The sequence below is a fragment of the Homo sapiens genome, chromosome 15 (assembly GCF_000001405.40).
Source record: "Homo sapiens chromosome 15, GRCh38.p14 Primary Assembly".
Classification (NCBI taxonomy): Eukaryota; Metazoa; Chordata; class Mammalia; order Primates; family Hominidae; genus Homo; species Homo sapiens.
Window position 1 is genome coordinate 77731454 of NC_000015.10, and position 18904 is coordinate 77750357.

General features: G+C 54.8%; 1 protein-coding gene across 9 annotated transcripts in view, besides 8 other annotated features; it reads right to left on the reverse strand.

Moving 5' to 3' along the window:
* LINGO1 (leucine rich repeat and Ig domain containing 1) overlaps window positions 1-18904 on the reverse strand; it is a 207874-nt gene that overhangs the window by 118427 nt on the left and 70543 nt on the right. For 7 of the 9 annotated variants that reach the window (NM_001301186.2, NM_001301187.2, NM_001301189.2 and 4 more), the window contains one exon: window positions 3539-3600. The exons of the other annotated variants lie outside the window; for them this stretch is intronic. The gene's annotated coding sequence lies outside the window, so the exon portion shown is untranslated. The remainder of the gene's footprint in view (window positions 1-3538; window positions 3601-18904) is intronic. 9 annotated transcript variants of the gene reach the window in all.
* Window positions 6117-6630: an enhancer, noted in NCBI's record as "H3K4me1 hESC enhancer chr15:78029912-78030425 (GRCh37/hg19 assembly coordinates)". NCBI's record gives its function as "activates a minimal SCP1, AML or CMV promoter by ChIP-STARR-seq in primed H9 embryonic stem cells {active_cell/tissue: H9 hESC(primed)}" and the evidence as "EXISTENCE:reporter gene assay evidence [ECO:0000049][PMID:30033119]".
* Window positions 7658-8169: an enhancer, noted in NCBI's record as "OCT4-NANOG-H3K27ac-H3K4me1 hESC enhancer chr15:78031453-78031964 (GRCh37/hg19 assembly coordinates)". NCBI's record gives its function as "activates a minimal SCP1, AML or CMV promoter by ChIP-STARR-seq in naive H9 embryonic stem cells {active_cell/tissue: H9 hESC(naive)}" and the evidence as "EXISTENCE:reporter gene assay evidence [ECO:0000049][PMID:30033119]".
* Window positions 8170-8683: an enhancer, noted in NCBI's record as "OCT4-NANOG-H3K27ac-H3K4me1 hESC enhancer chr15:78031965-78032478 (GRCh37/hg19 assembly coordinates)". NCBI's record gives its function as "activates a minimal SCP1, AML or CMV promoter by ChIP-STARR-seq in naive H9 embryonic stem cells {active_cell/tissue: H9 hESC(naive)}" and the evidence as "EXISTENCE:reporter gene assay evidence [ECO:0000049][PMID:30033119]".
* Window positions 8684-9195: an enhancer, noted in NCBI's record as "NANOG-H3K27ac-H3K4me1 hESC enhancer chr15:78032479-78032990 (GRCh37/hg19 assembly coordinates)". NCBI's record gives its function as "activates a minimal SCP1, AML or CMV promoter by ChIP-STARR-seq in naive H9 embryonic stem cells {active_cell/tissue: H9 hESC(naive)}" and the evidence as "EXISTENCE:reporter gene assay evidence [ECO:0000049][PMID:30033119]".
* Window positions 9709-10220: an enhancer, noted in NCBI's record as "H3K4me1 hESC enhancer chr15:78033504-78034015 (GRCh37/hg19 assembly coordinates)". NCBI's record gives its function as "activates a minimal SCP1, AML or CMV promoter by ChIP-STARR-seq in primed H9 embryonic stem cells {active_cell/tissue: H9 hESC(primed)}" and the evidence as "EXISTENCE:reporter gene assay evidence [ECO:0000049][PMID:30033119]".
* Window positions 16098-16666: an enhancer, noted in NCBI's record as "NANOG-H3K4me1 hESC enhancer chr15:78039893-78040461 (GRCh37/hg19 assembly coordinates)". NCBI's record gives its function as "activates a minimal SCP1, AML or CMV promoter by ChIP-STARR-seq in naive H9 embryonic stem cells {active_cell/tissue: H9 hESC(naive)}" and the evidence as "EXISTENCE:reporter gene assay evidence [ECO:0000049][PMID:30033119]".
* Window positions 16667-17234: an enhancer, noted in NCBI's record as "H3K4me1 hESC enhancer chr15:78040462-78041029 (GRCh37/hg19 assembly coordinates)". NCBI's record gives its function as "activates a minimal SCP1, AML or CMV promoter by ChIP-STARR-seq in naive H9 embryonic stem cells {active_cell/tissue: H9 hESC(naive)}" and the evidence as "EXISTENCE:reporter gene assay evidence [ECO:0000049][PMID:30033119]".
* Window positions 17272-18033: an enhancer, noted in NCBI's record as "NANOG-H3K4me1 hESC enhancer chr15:78041067-78041828 (GRCh37/hg19 assembly coordinates)". NCBI's record gives its function as "activates a minimal SCP1, AML or CMV promoter by ChIP-STARR-seq in naive H9 embryonic stem cells {active_cell/tissue: H9 hESC(naive)}" and the evidence as "EXISTENCE:reporter gene assay evidence [ECO:0000049][PMID:30033119]".

Genomic DNA, 18904 nt, shown 5'->3' on the forward strand with positions numbered 1-18904 from the left:
ATGGGGAAGGGGATTCAATCCCAGCTCTGCCTTTTCTGTGACTTGGGTCAACTCAGCTTCCATATGTGGGCCTCCATTTTTCATAGGGAAACAGGGATCATGGCTTCCCTCTCCTGCGTGAGAACCAACGATGTTCCATGTGTGAAGAGCCTGTGCCAGTTCCTTCTCCTCACTCTCCTCCCTGCCACCATCCCAATGTGCTAGGCCTCTCCGCTCAACCCCAGCATTGCCACTGCTGCCTCTCTGTGCCCCATGAAAGCAGCCTCCTTATTTCCTCTAGGCTCAGAGATTTCATCCCTCTGTGCCTCCCCTACCCAGGTGGCTGAAAGCTCCTGTCACTGAAGCAGGGACAAGCTCTCTCCAGCTGCACACCCAGCTCCCTCCTGTCCAGCACTATCCCTGGCAGCCCTCAGTAACTGACACCCAGAGGGAGACAGCAGGGAAGAAGCTGGAGCCGCCTCCCCCACCACAACCACAGCAGCCTGGATACAGGAACCCGAATGTCACTCAGTTCAGACTGAACTGGCTCTGCTGCCCACCCCAGCAGCCACCAACCACGGCAATGACAATCACAACTCCACTGACAGGCCCTCACCACGTGCCAGGTCATGCATCATCTCATCTCATCTTCCCAATATGCCTATGAGAAAACAACTGCTGTGCCCATTTCACAGATGAGGAGACTGAAGCACAGAGAAACCATGAACCCAAGTCTAGCTCAGGACTTGAGGTCTGCACTCTACACTTTACTGCTAGGTCCACCCACAGCTCCTCAGAAATGCCCAGGACCAGAGGGCTGGCAGAAAGAGCAACGAGGCCTCCCTTCTGTGCTGGACTGAGGTGAAAACCAACAGCAGCGTTTGCAGCAGACACATTCTGACCTTAAAGTTAAAAATTAAGTTCCCAAGTATAGGATGTTGTTTAGGGAACTGGCCTAACACCCACCCCCGTGGTTCTGCTCCCGTTTTAGAAATGAAGGTAGCGCTAGCTTGCGTCCGCATCTCAAGCTCACACAAAACGTCAGGCTGGTAAACTCTGGTGGTGATGATGGGGTGGCAAGAGGTGCCCAGCAAATGCACCCATCCAAGCAAGACCCTTTCCCCATGCCTGCTGGGCAGTGCCAGGTGGACTGAGGTCCCTTCTGGAGTAGGCTTCACATGTGCAGTCCCGTCAGATGGGTGCTCGAGTGTGGCTTCCCCTCAGGCAGAGCTTCCGGCCAAGGCTGGCCACAGCCCACGCCAGCCCTGCCTGCACACAGAGCCCATGGTGGCTCCCTGCTCTGCACTCGGACAGATGCCGTTGTTGTAACTGTGGCTCCCGGGTTTGCATAATGCCTCCTTCCCGGCTCCCATGCCCCCCAGCACGCATGTTCAGGCTCTGATCTAGCACACAGGCTGCTTTTATTTCAAAGATTTCAAGAGGCCATCCCACGAGTCATAAATAATCGAAGGTGCTCTGATGCTGCGTCCAGGTGTGTTGACTGATAGCCCTCCCCACCGGCCACGGCCGGCCTCCTGGATTGGAGCCTGTCCCTTCCCAGCTCTCCCCTGAATGGCATCCCTTCCACTGAAGCCTGTGTCTGTAGATCCCTGAATTGCCTGCCCACCCTCCTTCCTGTTTCCAGTCCCTCTCAGCGTGCAGCAGCCACCCCCACAGCTCCCCCATCTAGGTCAGGACAAGCGCCTGGAACTCATTCTCACTGAACCGAGTGGGGCTGGGGCCCACTCAGCCACCCACAGGATGGCAGCTGAGGGCAGTTACTGTGGGGTAGCTTCTCAGAGGAGGCACACTCCGAGCAGAGGGGGCTGTTAGTGTCCAAGTACGGAGGAGAGGGAAGAGGGCATGTCCAGGAAGGACGGACGTGCCCCAGAGACAGAGAACCCAAGAGACTAGCCCAGGGGCTCCCTCTCACAATCTTGCTGGCTGTGGCTGCCTGGTCCACACACACATCTTCATGGATGCAGCCTCCAGCTCCCACCCCCATGCCATGACCCTTGAGGGCCTGACCAGAGGATATGGTGGCCAAGGGCGTGGCCTCCAACCATAGCCCTCCTCTCAGGTAACCCACCACTGGGAGACAAAGTGTAGGGAGAGAGACGGATAGACCCATGGAACCTGGAGTAGAGACCAAGACCAAATCCTACCTCGCGACCGAGGCCTCAGGAAGGGAACAAAGTGCTCCCTCTCATGGCTTGCTGTTGCTAAGATTAATGAGCTAATTAAAGTATGAAGATGGTTTCTTGTACACTTAAAAAGAGGTGATCAACCAACACAAATTAATCACAATTAGCAACCCTCCTCCACGCAGTCTGCCTGGATTAGGTCCACTGAGCGTAGTTTCTCCTCTCCCAAATGACAGGAGGCTGCACTGGCCCTTGCAGGGGTGTCTGAGCTGCCGAGGGCTGCACTTCTCCGATCCCCAGAGTCCTTCAAACTCCTTCCAAGACTCTGCTGCAAAATGACTGTGTGTTTTCACATCTATTGAGCACCAACTGTGTGCCAGGCTCTTCGTACTTGGCCTTCTACACACGACACAGTGCTCAGGAGGATGAGCTACGAGGAGCTCCCTTTTACAGATACGGAAATTTGAAGCCAGAGCCCTAACTCCCGATCTCAGTTAACCCCTGCCCTGGGCCGTGCGGCAAGTTAGGCCAGGGCAGGGTGGAGGATGGACAGCCACACCCCTCCAGCCCCCACTACTTCAAATCCGCTAGTACTGCTGCTGCAGGCTTGTGAGGAGGGGTGCCGTCTCCCCAACTTCACACCCCTTCTGCTCCCTCCTGAGCACATAGGTAAGGCTGACTCGGAAGAGACGCCTGGGCCCTTGACACCAAATTAAAACCAGAATTCCGGAGAGGGAGGGAGAGCATGGAATTTTTTTTTTAATTAAAATACAAAACAAAACAAAACCAGAAACCCTCCCTGTAATCATTCCCAGGACAGAGTGTCCTTGGAACTGAAGTCAAAGTTGGGGGCTACTGGGGTCAGCCTTGCCGCCCCTCATCTAACAGTGATCCCCAGACACAGCAATAGTGTCTGAAAAATGCTTATCACAGAGTACAACCAGGCCCTAAGGTCAGAGCCTGACCACCCAGAGCACACCCTGCCCCAACAGATTCCCTGGCCTGTCCCCCACAGGCCGCCCACCTTACCTGGGTGGCCCACAGCTCTGCTCCTCCTCCAGGAGGAGCCTCCAGGATCCCCAAGTTCAAGGCTGGCTGGTGCCTGGGTCAGGCACCCACACTCCCCAGGGCCCCAGCGGTTGCTCTCCAAGGGCCCCCAGCGCCTATAACCCTGACCCATCAGACCAGGGAGCTGCCTTCCTCCTTTTTCCTAAAAGCTGATCCCCAAACCTTCCCACCCCCTACCTCGCCCAGTGACTCAAAAGCGCCCCTCCCCAGGAACATGGCTGGGGAAGGGAAAGGGGGGTCCAGGAGATGGGAGGGGAGAATGAGGTGGTAGAGAGAGGGCTGCTGCTCTGCACAGACCCCTTGGCCCTGCTGCATCCACCAACACAGACAGCAGCTGCTCAACTCACTCAAGCATCGTCTCAGGGCTCAGGGCTCCGGGCTCAAGATCAGGGCCTCCTCGGTGGGACACCTGCAAAGAGACAGCAGGGAAGAGGTGAGAGGACAGTCAGATCGGGGCCTGCAGACCCGTCCTGTAGTCAACCCCACCCAAGTCTCTGCCCAGCCTGGGCTTCCCTGTGTACTGGGCCAGATAGAGCAGGAGGAGACCTGGACCCTGCCCTCTGGAAGCTTGCGGGCAAGCCTAAAGATGCCACATTCATTCCAGAGTCAAGATTGCACTTTCGGTAAAGCAAGGGCCTGGGCTACAGCAGGCTGGGATTCAGGCACCCGCACAGCCCCGGAGGACATACAAACTAGACTTGCAGCGCAGCCCCCACCTATCCAAACCTGTGTGCAGCGGAAGCCACAGTTCTCTGGTTCCTGGACACACAGGGCTGAACCTCAAATCCTCCCTCCTGAGGCCACGTGTGGCTTATGGTCCCAAGGAGCACAGAGGAGCTGGTGGGAAGGGAGTACCCAGGGCCACCTTCCCATGTCTGCCTGAGGTCTTTACCTGGGCCCAGTCTCAGCTTTGTCACTGGCTCACCCTGGGACCCTAACTGTGCCTCCCATCAGTACAGGCAGGTGCAGCAGAGTTGCTGGGACTTGTGCAAACACAGCTTGCTGGGCTCCACCCCGAGAGTTTCTGACCAGTAGGTCCTGGGGGTGGTGGGGCCTGAGGATCTGCATTTCCAACAAGCTCCCAGGTAATGCTGATGCTGCTGGTTGGGGATCACACTTTGAGAACTGCTGGCCTTGAAGATGTGTCCAGCCTGGAAAGTACAAAGCCCACACCCTCAAGGAGTTCACAGGCTAAATGGGAGACCACTCATACACACACATGCATGTGTGCACACATATCTTACTCCCAGCAGCCATAGTGGAAATGTGGTTTCTGAACACTAAGGCGATCTGACAGGGGAGGGCTGTGGGCTGGTGCAGTCACGGAAGGCTTCCTAAAAGAGGTGAAGACCTAAATGACTACCTTCACATATTATGGCCTTATTATGCAAATAACACATGAAAGCATTCTCTTTTTAAGAGGTTCAAATACAGTAGTCTGTAGAGTAAACACTCTCATTCCCAGTCACCTCTCCAGAGGTACTGACTGCCATCCCTTTGGCATGAAACTTTAACTGTGCATTTGTACACATGTGCAAATGTGTGTGCAATCCTACCTGAAGGGGTAGGATCACTTGAGGTGCACACAGACATAGGGGTATATACCAGGGAGCACAGCACCTGTGCTTGTGTGCACCTGCATTCCTCACTTCACAACAGATTTTTGAGACCTTTCCCTGTCCATACATAGCAATAACCATGCTTGTGCTCACTGAGCACCTACTGTGTGCCAGACCCTGGGCTGAGTGCTGTACCTCTTAACTCGTCTGATCCTATTAATAGATCCCTAAGTGGGTGCTGTGTTGATCCTCATTTTGTAGATGAGAAACTGAAGTGGGCCAGATGTGGTGGCACACACGTGTAATCCCAGCACTTTGGGAGGCTGAAGGGGTAGGATCGCTTGAGCCCAGGAGTTCAAGACCAGCCTGGGTGACATAGCAAGACCCTGTCTCTACAAAAAAAATAAATTAATTTAAAAAATTAGCTGGGCATGGTGGTGTGCACCTGTGGTCCTAGTTACTCAGGAGGCTGAGGCAGGAGGATCACTTGAGCCCAGGAGGTGGAGGCTACAGCGAGCTATGATCGTGCCACTGCACTCCCGCCTAGGTGACAGAATGAGACTTCATCTCTAAAAAAGAAAAACCAAAAAGAAAGAAAAGAAAAAAGAAAAGAAACGAAAACTGAGGTGCAGAGTAGAGTGGTGACCAGTAAGCCGCCTGAGTTTACAGCCAGGGCATAGTGGAGCCAAAGTTTGGATCTGGGCTGTGAAGTTCCAGCATGTTTTCCTAACGGACTGTCACAGCTGAGCTTTCATGGTGCTGCACTGAGGCATGCCACGTGGGGTGTACCCTCACCTGTGTAATCAGGCCCCCAAGGATGAGTGCTTAGGTGTTTCCAATTTTTTATTTCAAACATTGCTGGAAAAAAATATCCTGTCTCATTGAACACATGTGTAAGTATTTCTCTGGGTGCCTTCCAAAAGGGTAGATCAAAGGGTATCCACGTTTTACATGTAGATACTTGCTGCCAAGTTGACCTCCATAAAACATCTGTACTGATCTGCAACTGTCCATTTCCCCATGTGAGCCCTAAGTTAGAACAGTTCCCATTTACTCAGCACCTGTTGTGCATCAGATCCAGTAACATCTGGGTTGTCACCTCCATTCTGCAGAAAAGGAGACTGGCTCAGAGAGGTTATGCTGCTTGCCCAAAGCCACAGAGCAGAGCAATTTGCCTCAATATTGTAAAAGAAAGAGAAGGGAGGGAAGAAAGGAGAAAGGGAGGAAGGGGAGGAAGGAGAGGGAGGAAGGGGAGGAAGGAGGGAGAGGAAGAGAGAGAGAGGGAAGGAGGGAAATTCCTTGACCTCACATGCCCTCCCATTTCTCTGCTTCCCTTTAATAGCAAAACTCAAGAGCTATCTCTACTGTCTCCACCCCTTCACTTCCAGTTCCCTCTCCAGTTCTGTCCCCACCACTCCACAAAACTGCTCTTATCAAGGTCCCCCAGAAACCTCAGTTTTGCCAAGCCCAATAGTCACTCTCTGTCCCCTCACTGGTCCCTGAGCTCTCAGCAGCATCTGACATGGCTGATTGCTTTCTCCATCAGGTGACATTTTATCTCTGGGTTTCCAGGACTCGGCCTCTCCTGGCTGTCCTCCTACACCTTCTCCCCTCTTACCTAACTTCCCTCCAAGCATCCGAGGCCCCAGGGCTCACCAGGACATCCTCTCCATCCCATCCTGTCTGCACACTCCTCAGCTTAAACCCCTGCTGTGCCCCCAGGTCCCTCTCACCAGCCTCAGCTCCCTCCTGAATGCCAGTTCGTGTTCAGAGGCCTATTTGTCATCTCCGCTTGCTCATCTAACAGACCTGTCCAAAACAGAACTCTTCATTTTTATCCCCAAATTATGTTTCCCTCAGCCTTGACTTCTCTCTTTCTCCCTCGGCCCATACCCAAGCCATCAGCAAACCCTATCAGGTCTATCCCAGAACACATCCAGAACCTGACTGCTTCCCCCAGCTCCTCTGCCCCGCCCTGGCCAGCTCTTGCCTGGATTATTGAAACAGCCTCCTCCCTCACTCAGCTTCTTGCCTCCACCTCTGGCCCCAAACTATCAGAGCAGCACGATGACGGAGAGAATCAGGCCCTGTGGCTCCCTGCCATAAGCCCATGGTACAGACTGAAGTCCAAACTCTCTCCAAAGCCTTCGAGGCCCTGCCCACCTCTCAGAAATCATCTTCCACCATAATTGGCCTCCTTCCCACACGGGCCAGTCTCAGGGTTTTTGCCCTCTCGCTCCTTCTACCAAAGGTTCTTCCCCCAGACTTTCTTACCATCCCATTCAAATGAGCCCTCTTACCATCCCTAGGCACCCTAGGTAAAATGCCCACCATGCACCCCAGTCTCTCCCAATTTTCTAAGCATTTCCTCCGCCTGACATTATATTGTCTATTTATGTGTGGCCTTGTTTCCTGTCTGCCTCCTCATCACAACATAAACTCCATAAGGCAGGCAGGGCCCGAAGCCACCTTGTTCACCTCTGGATTCACCTCTGTACTATGTGCAGTGCTTGGCACCCAGGAGACAGTCAATACATATTTGCTGAAGGAAGGAAGGAAGGAAGGAAGGAAGGAAGGAAGGAAGGAAGGAAGGAAGGAAGGAAGGAAGGAAAGAAGGAAGGAAGGAAGGGGCACAGCCAACTCTACCAGACTCCGAAGCCTGTGTTCTTACTCCCTACATGAACTGCCTCCCATATGAAGAAGCAGGCAGGAGCCAGAGGGCATGCCCAGCAGGCAGGACACACTGCAAAGGCAGGGAGGTGGAAGCGAGACTGAGGTCCGGCCAGCTGGCGCAGCAGCGCACACTGCACAGCAGTGGGGCCCCAGCCTCCCTGGGATAACAGGCCCAGCAGCCCCCACCCCAGGGAGTCTGCGGCTCTCACACCTGCCAACCTGTCCCATTCAGGAGGGAGCCTTGGGGGCGGCCGGCAGCTGAACGCAACCGGCGGGGGGCCAGGATGCCTGCCAACAGCTGGTGCCGCTGCCAGGCAGCCCAGTAATTGTGTTCGCAGCGGAAATTGGTCCAGGGAGTTTTTTCCTTTCGCCTTCCATTTTCTTTCTCTTCCCTTCCCCCCTTGGAGCTGCAAGACCCAGAAGATTGATCTTTGCCTGAAACGGAGGAGATAACTCGATATAATGAACTCCACGGTCCCTCTTGCTGTTTGGAGCTTTTAAAAAATTTAAAAGGGCCAGGGACAAAAAACCAACCCCTTGGGGGCCTCAGGGGCTGCTTCCCCTCCCTCAGAAGCCCCTGGTCCTACTTCTGTGCCCCTCTGCAGCTCCCCATCTCCTTCCTTTCCCCTCCTTTTTCCCTTGGGATGCCTTGATGGAACAAAGGTTAAAATACCCCTTTCTCTTGCAAGCTTTAAAAATACTTTTGGTGAGGTCAGGGCTGGGTCCACCAATCACCCTACCTCCCAGGCCCCTGCCACTGTGACGGCTCCCTCTCCCAAGAGTTACCAGCCAGCCTGGGGGTGACAAGTTGGCTCAGTCCACCTGTTCTCAAAGCATTTCAGGAGGCCCAGCCCACCCACTGAGGTGCTGCCAAAGACAGCTTTTGTTCCTACAAGTGGTTCTTTAAAGAGCCACCTATGATACACAAAGGGAGCACAGCGGTGGCTGGGATGGCTGGAACAGAGGAGCTGCCCCTGCTTCCTGGAGGTCTGTGCCTCCCCCCAATGCATCAGCCAGCAGCCCCTCCAGCCAGTTGCTCCTGGGCTCTGTGCCCTGCATGCATTCACATATTCAGCCAGTGTTTATGGAGCACCTATCCTGTGCCAGGCACTGAGCTGAGAGCTGGGGACCTAGGGGATCACCAAACCCTTCTGATTCCTGCCCTCAGTGGCTGTAAAGCCTGGTGGCAGAGGCAGTCATTAATCAATGGCCACACTTGGGTGGGAGACACACTGGGATGAGGGCTTTAAAGGAAAAGCCAAGGAGCCCTGACAGCATGGACAGTGTGGTCAGGGAGGGCTTCCCTGAGGAAGTGTCCTTGGAGCAGAGGTCTGAAAAACAAGTATGAGACCGCCAGACAGAGGATGTGGGTGGAGGGCTCCACGCATTATGGGAAGGGTCTGCTCCCAGGAGTGTGCCATCCAATTAGAGCCTCTCCCCTGGTGCTCTGCCTGCAGAAAAAGGCCAGGTCCCCAAATTACTTACCTGGCATTCAAGGCCTTTCCTAGCCTGATGTCTGCCCCCAAGACCCTCTTGTCTCCAGCTTCTCCCTCCAAGATGCAGCACAAATGTTGCCTCAGTGGCTCCACGCCTGTGCTCCTCCCCACCCAGCACAGACCACGCTGGCCTGTTATGGGATGTTACAGGCTCACCTGCCCACACAGGTCACGCTGTGGGGCCTCTGCATACCTGGTGCCCCACTCACAGCCAAGGGTGTGTGTCAAGGGGAAGACAGCAACTGGAAGCACCCTCAGGAGGTTTTGACTCCAATCAGCGAGGGCTGGAGGCATCAGGGAGAGCTTCCTGGAGGGGCAGGGTGGGGCTTTGAATACACAAAGATTTGGATAGTAGGGTGGGGAGTCCAGGGCAACAGGGACAGAGGCTCAGAAAAGACCTGCAGAGGTGGGCACCTAAAGACCGAGGCTGCCCAAGCAGATCTCTAACCTTCAACCCCCAAAAGGCCAGGAGGAGAAGGAGAAGCTGAGGTTCCAAGAAGGCAGTGCTTCTGCCGAGCTATGCGGCCCGGCAACAGTGGCCAAAGGTGGCAGCAGCCTCCCTCCTGTCCCTAAGCAGTCATTGTCCACACATGTCCATCTCCTGGGGCTCAGGCATTCCCAGCCCCCAGCCCTGCCCTCGCCCCCAAAAGAGCTCACACACCAGGAGTCAGGCAGCTACCCTACCATGTGGCCAAGGAAGGGAACCAGGAGCCTGGAGAAGCCCAAACCTAGGCCAGCGGGGGCAAGAGGCACCTGAAGTGCTTCTCCAGGAAGGAGACATTGGCTGGGCTGGGGAAGGCACTCTCAGCAGGGGACACCCTGCAAAAAGCCCCAGAGGTGCCCCCTCTAGATTTGCTTCTTTGCCTTCTAGGCTTCTGGCCTGGCTGAGCTCCTGGGAACACGAGTCAGCAGCACCCCAAGCCTGAGCCTTTAGGGAACCAACCCCCGCCCCACCCACATTACACTGTCCTGAGAGGCTGGGAAACTCCTGGAACATTCCCTGGCCAGTCTCAGGTTTTCTACCCTCTGCCTTTGGGCCCTGAGGACCCCTTACCCCAGCCACCTTTAGAGGATACAGCAGAGGCCAGGGCTCTTGCCCCAGGAAGGCCCCTGGCCACCCTTCCCTGGTGTCCTCAGGAGCCTAGGCCCCAGCATCCCCAAGAGCAGCCCTGGAAACAGGGCCTGGCCACCCAGGAGGGGCAGGCCGCAGGCCCCACAGACTATGCTGTGGCCAGCCGCTCTCCCCAGGGCCCACCACTGCCAGCAAAAAACAAAACCGCTTGACCTTGTGGTTCCGCAGACAAGTAGCTTCCCGCCTCAGCTTCCCCAGTGCAGTCCCCTGAGGCTGCAGGCTCTGTGGGCATCAGGTACAGTTGGAGGTAAAGGAAGCTCTGTGCAACCAGCCCTGCCTTGCTTCTGGGGGCCAAAGAAGCCCTTGTCCCCATACATACTCAGAAAGCCTGGCCTAGAATGTTCTCACCTAGAATGTCGAAACACAAGACTTCCCAAGACCTCAGCTGAAACCAGAGAGGAGAGGGGCCAAGAGGAATCCTTGGTTCAGATGGAGAGAAAGAGATGGGCAAGGGAGAAAGGCAGAGGGGGGGTTGGGCCATCCACAATGGGCAGGGCCTCCAATGCCAGGCAAAGGTGCTGAGCATCACCCTCTGTGCCCAGGAGCTCCATGGACCCATCCAAGCAGGGCGGGGCCTACTGCCAGGCACTGGTAAGATGAGAGGCCAGGCAGAGGGGCCGCTCCCAGGGAGCTAACGGACCTGACTGAGCCCCACAAGCCTAGCTCAGACTGGGCCAGAGAAGCTGTCGGGGACACGTGTGGAGGAGAGTGTTCTCTCCAAAGCCTCTGAAGGTGAGAAGGCCCAGGCTGGCCCCCACCCTGGCTTGCAGGCCAGCCCAGCCAGAGCTGCTCCCTGGCCTTCCTCCCCACAGCCTCTGGGAGGCAGAGGCACAGTGAACAGAGCCTCACAGAGCCACTCGATGGCCACTTCCTGAGCACTTCCAGGTGCCGGGCACATCAGCTCACCTCCCTCTCAGCAGTTCACTGAGCTGGGCACCAGTATCCCCCTTTCCAGAGGGGAAACTAAGGTGCAGGGTGGGGATGACTCACCTAAGGCACACAGCCAGCACCTGGTGGAGGCATAATTTGAACCCAGATCTGGGTAAATCCAAAGCTGTTAACCATGAGAGCCAGAGACAGAGGGATTCTGCCTCATCCAGGATGTAGAAGCCACAAGAGAGCATCCCTCCCAGCTAACAATGAGAAAAAGCTGGATATTCTGCAAAACCATAACTTTCATTTAGCCTGCTGGAGAGCTGGTGTTACAAGGCAGTCAGGGGGACCGAATTCCAAAGACTGGTGTGCTGTCCAGGGAGAGTGGGAGCACGGCCAGCTTCACCTTTGGCAGAGACTGTAGAAGAGAGCCTGCCAAAACAGCTGGAAGGGTAAGAAGGAAACAGCTGGAAGGGGAGGAATTCTCAGCAGCTAGGTGTGGACCAGCCCTGGCAGTTCCAGACACAAGGAGTCCACCCTCACAGCCAGTGCATTTCCACGATGCTCCAAGAAAGCTTGGGGTGCGGTGAGAGGATGGACAGAACCCACGGTGGTGCACGGGTGCACAGGGCCCCCAGCCCGACGCCCAACCTCACCTTCTCAGAAATTGAGAAGAATCTGGTGAGGAAGGTGGGAGAGATGGAGTGACTGAAAGGGTGGGGGGTGGAAGGAGAGCCCTCCTGGGCTCCATGCTGCCTTGGCTCTCCGGACTACCCCCTACCCCATGCTCCCCCTGCCAGGAGGGCCTCACTGAGGAGTCGTAGGCAGCACCTTTCCCTCCTCCCTCCATCCACCTATGCCCACCTCCAGCACACCTTCACCGGGAACCCACTCTGCTTGGCACAAGCACCCAGCGTTCTCCAGGGGCAGGGCAGAGGGGACAGAGAGCCCCAGGGCCCCTATGTACTCTGTAAAAGGAGGGGCATGACTCCTTTCCCCCATTACAGGGAGTCAAGGGACTAAGAGGGGCACAGATTCTTGAGGGGACAGCATCAGAGCCCAGGCTTCCTGGCCTCAGGCCTGTGCCCTGTACCCTACCTTAAAGACAGGTAGGCTGCAAAGACCCCCAGTCTAAAGAGGGTTGGGAGGTTTTGCTCCATCCCTCCTGGAGACAGAATCTACTGTGGGCACAGAGTAGGGAATGATTTTGCATTTCTCTCTTCTTTAAGAACCTTTAGACAGTCAAATTACAACGCAATATAAAAGCAGAGGCAAAAGCATCGTGTTCAGGGCTGGCTGGGGAGTTATTCTCGAGTTAACAAGCAAGCGGGGAGAACCCAGGGGCGCAGGAGGGATGCTGAAGATTTGCCTCCTAGGGAGAGGCAGGCAGCTGGGTGGGCATCAAAAGGGCTGAAGGGGGTGCTGCTGAAAGCCAGACTGCGGGGGTGGGGGAGTCCTCCCAATCTGGAACAGAAGATGGAGGTGTGAGAGGCTCCCATGGTGAGCGCCAGAAGCCCTAGGAGCAACCAGGTAACCCTCCCTGCCTTCATTTATTGATCCATCTGTAGCCAAGCCACAAGTATTTCTTGAGCATCTACTATACGCCAGGTCCTGAGGGTCCCCAGTGGATACAGAAGTGAGTGAGACAGACAAGGTCCTGCTCTTAAAGAGCCTTGGGAGAGAACTCACCGTGGGCAGAGCCTGCCTCAACCTCTCCCCAAACGAGGCCTGGATTCTGTCTGCACATCAGGCACCTCTGGCAGACACCAGGGCTGCCTGGAGCAGAGGAAAGAGCATAGGTTTGGAATTAACAAGCTGCGTGTCTATGAGCAAGTCCCTAACCTCTCTGACCCTCAGTAAGAATAACAAAAGCCAGCCTGGCACAGTGGCTCATGCCTGTAATACTAGCACTCTGGGAGGCCAAGGTGGGCAGACTGCTTGAGTCCAAGAGTTCAAAACCAGTCTGGGCAACATAGTGAAACCCTGTCTCTACTAAAAATACAAAAAACTAGCTGGTGTGGCAGTGCTCATCTGTAATCCCAGCTACTCGGGAGGCTGAGGTGGGAGAATCACCTGAGCCCGGGAGGTTGAGGCTGCACTGCGCCGAGATGGCACTACTGTACTCCAGCCTGGACAACCAAAGTGAGACCCTACATCAAAATTAAAATAAAATAAAATAACAAAAGCCGCTAACTTGTATTAAACAGTTAATATGTAGTCAGCATTATTCTAAACTTTACATGTATAAACTCATCTAATCAACACGACAAGACTGTGAGCTAGGTTCTATCAGTATTCCCCTTTTCAGAGGAGGCAATCAAAACACAGAGAGGTCTAGTGCTTTGCCCAAGGTCATGCACATAGAGCTACTGAGTACAGCCAGGATCACAGCTGGACAGGCTGGCTCCAGAGGCCTCACCCTTAACCACTGCACCTTGCTTAAGAAGCTGTTTCCTAGCCGGGCACAGTGGCTCACGCCTGTAATCCCAGCACTTTGGGAGGCCAAAGCAGGGGGATGACTTGAGGCCAGGAATTTGAGACCGGCCTGGCCAACATGGTGAAACCCCATCTCTACTTTAAAAAAAAAAAAAATAGCCGGGCATGGTGGTACACACTTGTAATCCCAGCTACTCAGGTGGCTAAGGCACGAGAATTGCTTGAACCTGGGAGGTGGAGGTTGCAGTGAGTCGAGATTGCACCACTGCACTCCAGCACTCCAGTCTGGGCGAGAGAGCAAGACTCTGTCTTAAAAAAAAAAAAAAAAAAAAGGCTGGGCACGGTGGCTCACGCCTGTAATCCCAGCACTTTGGAAGGCGAGGCAGGCGGATCACGAGGTCAGGAGATCGAGACCATCCTGGCTAACATAGTGAAACTCCGTCTCTACTAAAAATACAAAAAATTAGCCAGGCGTGGTGGTGGGCGCTTGTAGTCCCAGCTACTTGGAAGGCTGAGGCAGGAGAATGGCGTGAACCCGGGAGGTGGAGCTTGCAGTGAGCCGAGATCTGGCCACTGCACTCCAGCTGGGCGACAAAGCAAGACTCCGTCTCAAAAGAAAAAAAAAAAAAAAAGCTGTCCCCAGCAGAGACCCTTAGCACCATTCCATGTGTCCTGCTGAAATCCAGAATCACTGCCACCCCAACCTGGCGGCTCTGCCCACTGAGCGTGAGCTTCTATTCATTTGCTGGAGACCATCTCAAATGTCCTTTCTTCAGTGAAACCTGCAGGTCTTTTTCAGGATAAAGGAGGAGACCCACATGCATTGGGACCCTGCTGCGGACGAGACCCTGTGCCAATCACCTCATACACAATTGCTCATCTCTTCCTCACAACCCTGGCAGGCAAGACCAGCCATCTTTATTTCATAGAAGGGGAAACCAAGGCTCAAAAGATGAAGTGGCTTATCCAGGGTCGGGCAAACTTTGCCATATTCCGCATGCCTCTAGCAGGGATGGATGTTGTGGGGGACTGTGTGATGGAGGCTGGGGTGGGGTCACCAGATAGTTCCTGAGCCACTTAGGAAGGGTAAAAGAGCACCTGAGTCTGAAAGAACAAGAAATTATAAGAACCAGGAGCTGGGCACGGTGGCTCACATCTGCAATCTCAGCACTTTAGGAGGCTCCCCAGGAGTTCAAGACCAGCCTGGGCAACAAAGTGAAACCCTGTCTCTACAAAAAAAAAAAATTATATGGGCATGGTGGCATGCACCTGTGGTCCCAGCTACACAGGAGACTGAGGCAGGAGGATCACTTGAGCCTAGGAAGTCCAGATTGCAGTGAGTTGTGTTCATGCCACTGCACTCTAGCCTGGGAGAGAGAGCGAGACCCTGTCTCAAAAAAAAAAAAAAAAAAAAATGAACTGGGGACAGGATCAATCAGTCAGTCAATAAACACTGTTGCCTGGGTAGCTTTCATAAGCAAAATGGGTATAAACAACATGAGTATAAGCATGGGACCTCCCTCACTTTGTTCCATGAATTCCATTCCTCCCTCAACGCCAATACTGAAAGCACTTAGTCTTCTTTCCACCTGTCCACTTCCTGCCTAGATACATTTTTAGGTCTAAAGCCAGTACTGCCACCTCCTTCAAGAAGCCAGCCCTGATTGCCCCAGAACTCCTTAGAGCACCCTGAACCTGTGGTCTGGCTGGGGACCAGAGCAGACCTAAGGGGTAGAATTGCCCCCATGCCACAGAAGTTGATGGGTGGTCAGGTGCAGGAGCAAGGCTGGGGGCTGGGGGCTGGGGGCGAGGAGCCCTGCCTGGAGGATAACAAGGCACCCTATCCTACAGGAGGCTCAGGCAGGAGCCAGCCGCGCCATTGGCAGCAAAGCTAACATGATGGATGGCACCATTCAGGAAGAAATAAATCCAGAGGCTCATGTGCCAGGTGAACTGGGGGGTGTATCCATCTTACAGATGCTTAATGAATGTGCTGGCCAGAGCACACAGCAGCACATACATCTGCCTCCCACCCCTCTCCAGCTCCTTGAGCTCCAGAGACCACCCCCCACTCCCAGGGAAGGAGGGTGCTGAAAGGGGCCATAGATTAGCTGGCCCAGACCAAAACCCCCATTGGACAGATGGGAAAATCTAGGCCAGGAGAGGGCAGGGACTTACCCACAGTCACACAGGAATCAGCTGCAAAATCTGGACTAGAACACAGGCACCTAGGCCCGGCCCATGGACCTCTCCCTCAGGACCTCTTCAAACCCTCCCTGCCTTTAGCTCCACTGAGTTAGCTAAGAAGAATACCCAACCACCCTATCCGCAGGCCCAGGACTGCTCCTCCAGAGCTCCAGTCCCCTGTCCCTTGGTCCCCCGCCCAGGCCTAGCAGGGGGCCACATCTCCTCCTCCTCCTCTCCCCTGGCAACACAGCCAGGGTTTGGGAGCACTTCTGATAGCACTGAGTGGATGAGGGGACATTGCAAGTCATCTGGAGTGCAGACAGGTCCTGGGGGTGGGGTGGGTGCTGTCTTAATGAACAGATAAGATCCATCATGCTCAGCTCAGCATGCCCAGGGACTCTTCCCTGGGACAAGACCTCCAGGGTTCCCCCAAGCAGGTCAATCACTCCCCCTGCAAGCCTCTTCATTACTTTTTCTGTAACCTCTCACTGCCTAGAAGAGCAGAGCTCAGGCTGGCCCTCTCTGTGTCAGAATGCCCACCAATTCCCAGTCTGGGCTTCTAGGAGCTGTAGAGTGAGCACACTCAGAACAGATCCCTCAATCAAATTAACAAAACACTGACCTGCCTGCAAGACAGCAGCGTGAGCCCTGGGGGAGGGGAGTGGAAGAAGGGCCAGAGAAGGAGGCTGCACCAATGCAGAGCCAGGCGGGCCCCCGCCTCCAGAATCTCCCCACGGCTGTCACCATGCCTGAAATGTCACCATTAAAGGGAAACATCGTTCCGCTGGGGTTCGGAGGCATTAAAGTCTCTTATTAAAGTGAAACTATCCCAGAGAGAATCATACCCTCAGTCATTACCCACCTCCACACGTCAGTGGAGGAAGGAGGCAGGGAGGAGGAGGGTGGGTGGGTGGTACCACGTGTGTGCTGCGTGCCAGACAGCAGTGGCCATGCTGTGGGTCAGGGGTCAGGTGGTTGGCCAAAGGGCGCACAGCTGGTGTGTAGCAGAGCCAAGATTTGAACCCCGGTGCGACAGAGCCCAAAGCCAACCTTTCCCCTTCCACACAACTCTAAACAGGGACTGTGGTTGCCCTTTTGAGGCACCCTCTCCAGTGGGTTAAGACTCTGGCCACACCAACAGCCCTGCTGGGCCCCAGCGGGTGTGAACACCAGGACTAGAAACCCTTCTCAGCACCACACTCTCTGAGCTGTTCCTAAGAGGGCAGTGCCTTCACCCTGCACTCTGACTATGCCGTCCTCCTCCTCCCCACCTTGGGCCACCAGAGTTTGCCAGTGGGCAAAGGAACTGTCTTTGGAGTCAGATGACCCAAATTCTAATCATGTCCCTCAATCTCCCTGAGCCTCAGTTTCCCCATCTATAAAACGGGGATAGTAGCACCCACTTTACAGTGTCACTGCAGGGATTCCATGAGAGAAGATCAGGAAGAAGCCCAGCACAGAGCCTGGCTCAGGGCCCGCCCTCAAGGTAGCCTCTGGGCGTGGCCAACCCCTTTGATGCCCTGCAGAGCCCAGGAACCCTGAGGTGGCCCCAGCATAGTGGGCAGGACCAGGACAGCATGGGAAGAAGCAACACATGGAGGAAGGCGGGCCCCTGCCTTTTCCTCCCCACAACTCTGCTCCAGGAAGAGGTCATGGACCCCAGTCCCAGCTCAATTTCTTTTTTTTTCTTTTTCTTTTTTCTTTTCTTTTATTGGGGGTGCGGTGCAGGGGAGAGACAGAGGTTTGCTTTGTTGCCCAGGCTGGTCTTGAACTCCTGGCTTCAAGCAATCCTCCCACCTCAGCCTCTTGAAGTGCTGGGATTATAGGCAAGAGCCACAGTGACTGGCCCCTAGCCTTATTTATTTATTTATTTATTTATTTATTTATTTATTTTCCTTCCTTCCTTCTCTTTTTTTTTTTTTTTTTTTTTGGAGTCTCGCTCTGTCTCCCAGGCTGGAGTGCACTGGCGTGATATTGGCTCACTGCAACCTCTGCCTCCTGGGTTCAAGCTATTCTCCTACCTCAGCCTCCTGAGTAGCTGGGATTACAGGCGCACACTACCACGCCCGGCTAATTTTTGTATTTTTAGTAGAGACGGGGTTTCGTCATGTTGGTCAGGCTGGTCTCGAACTTCTGACCTTAGGTGATCCGCCTGCCTCGGCCTCCCAAAGTGCTGGGATTACAGGGGTGAGCCACTGCGCCCGGCCCCCCAGCCCAATTTCTATGGGGTCCCTAGAGAGAGGTCTGAGCCCAGCATCACCTGCCTGCTCCATTCCAGGCTACTCTGAGGCCCCTGCCTTCAGCCTGGCCACAGGAAGCACTGTCAGAAAACAAGCCCAATGCCATTCCCCAGGTGGGCCCAGTGAGTACTCAGCACCTCCCACCAGCCCCATCTCCAGGCCTTAAACCTGCCTGAAGCTCTTCCCTGGTTTTATTTCTCAGTCTTTTACATCCTGGCCTCACAGCCCTGGTAAGAAAACAAAAGAGACTCAGCAGGGGCTACCAGCTTTCCCAGACTCTCCCCAGCAGAGTGGGTCTGGGTCTCTAACTCCTGACCTCCTTCCTCCAGAGCCACCATGTGGCCCATGCCATGGACCCTTCTTAGGAATGTGTCATCCCCTTTGCCCACTCCCACGGCTGCTGCGTGGACTGCTCCCTGCTGCCCAGTGAAGCTGCTCCCGCCACCAGACCACCCTCCAACCCAACTCAGCCCTCCAGCTCTCCTAAGGGGTTATCCTCAAATAAGGGGAAGAAGTCAGTTATTGGCCATAGAGTTAGTCAAACATCTTCTCTCTGCCAATAAGCTGAGGGCTGGCTGGGCATGTCTGGAGCCCAAGGGCCAGCTTGAGGGCTGGTAAGAGGAAGTAGGGTGCGGAACCGGACTTTCTGGACAAGCTGCCATGGGGCAGGCCGGCTCTCTCCAATTTAATCCTCCCAGCAGCTCTCAGGGTGGGGGTGGGGAGTGGGTGATAGCACTTTACAGGTGGAGAAAGTGAGCCTGTGAAGTTAAGACACATGGATTTGAACCTGGGTCTGCCTGACTCAGGCTGGGCTCTCTCCATGACTCCCCCTCACCCACCCCTGGGGCTGAGTGAACACGTGCCCTGGAGTCAGAGCAGGGGCCACGTCCCCGATGCCCCCCGAGACAGCCTTGCCAATGGCCCCTTCCTCACTGCCCTCAGTATCCACCCCTGAGCTGGGCCCACCCCAGGGTCGGGGGACACCTGCTGCCTTCCCGTGAGGCCGCCTCCTGCTCCCTTCTCTCCCCTACTCTCACTAGCAAATGAGTAAGAAGAATAGCATTACAGTTTGGCTACATGAGAAGTAGAATTAGCAGGATTAAATATAAATAACTAT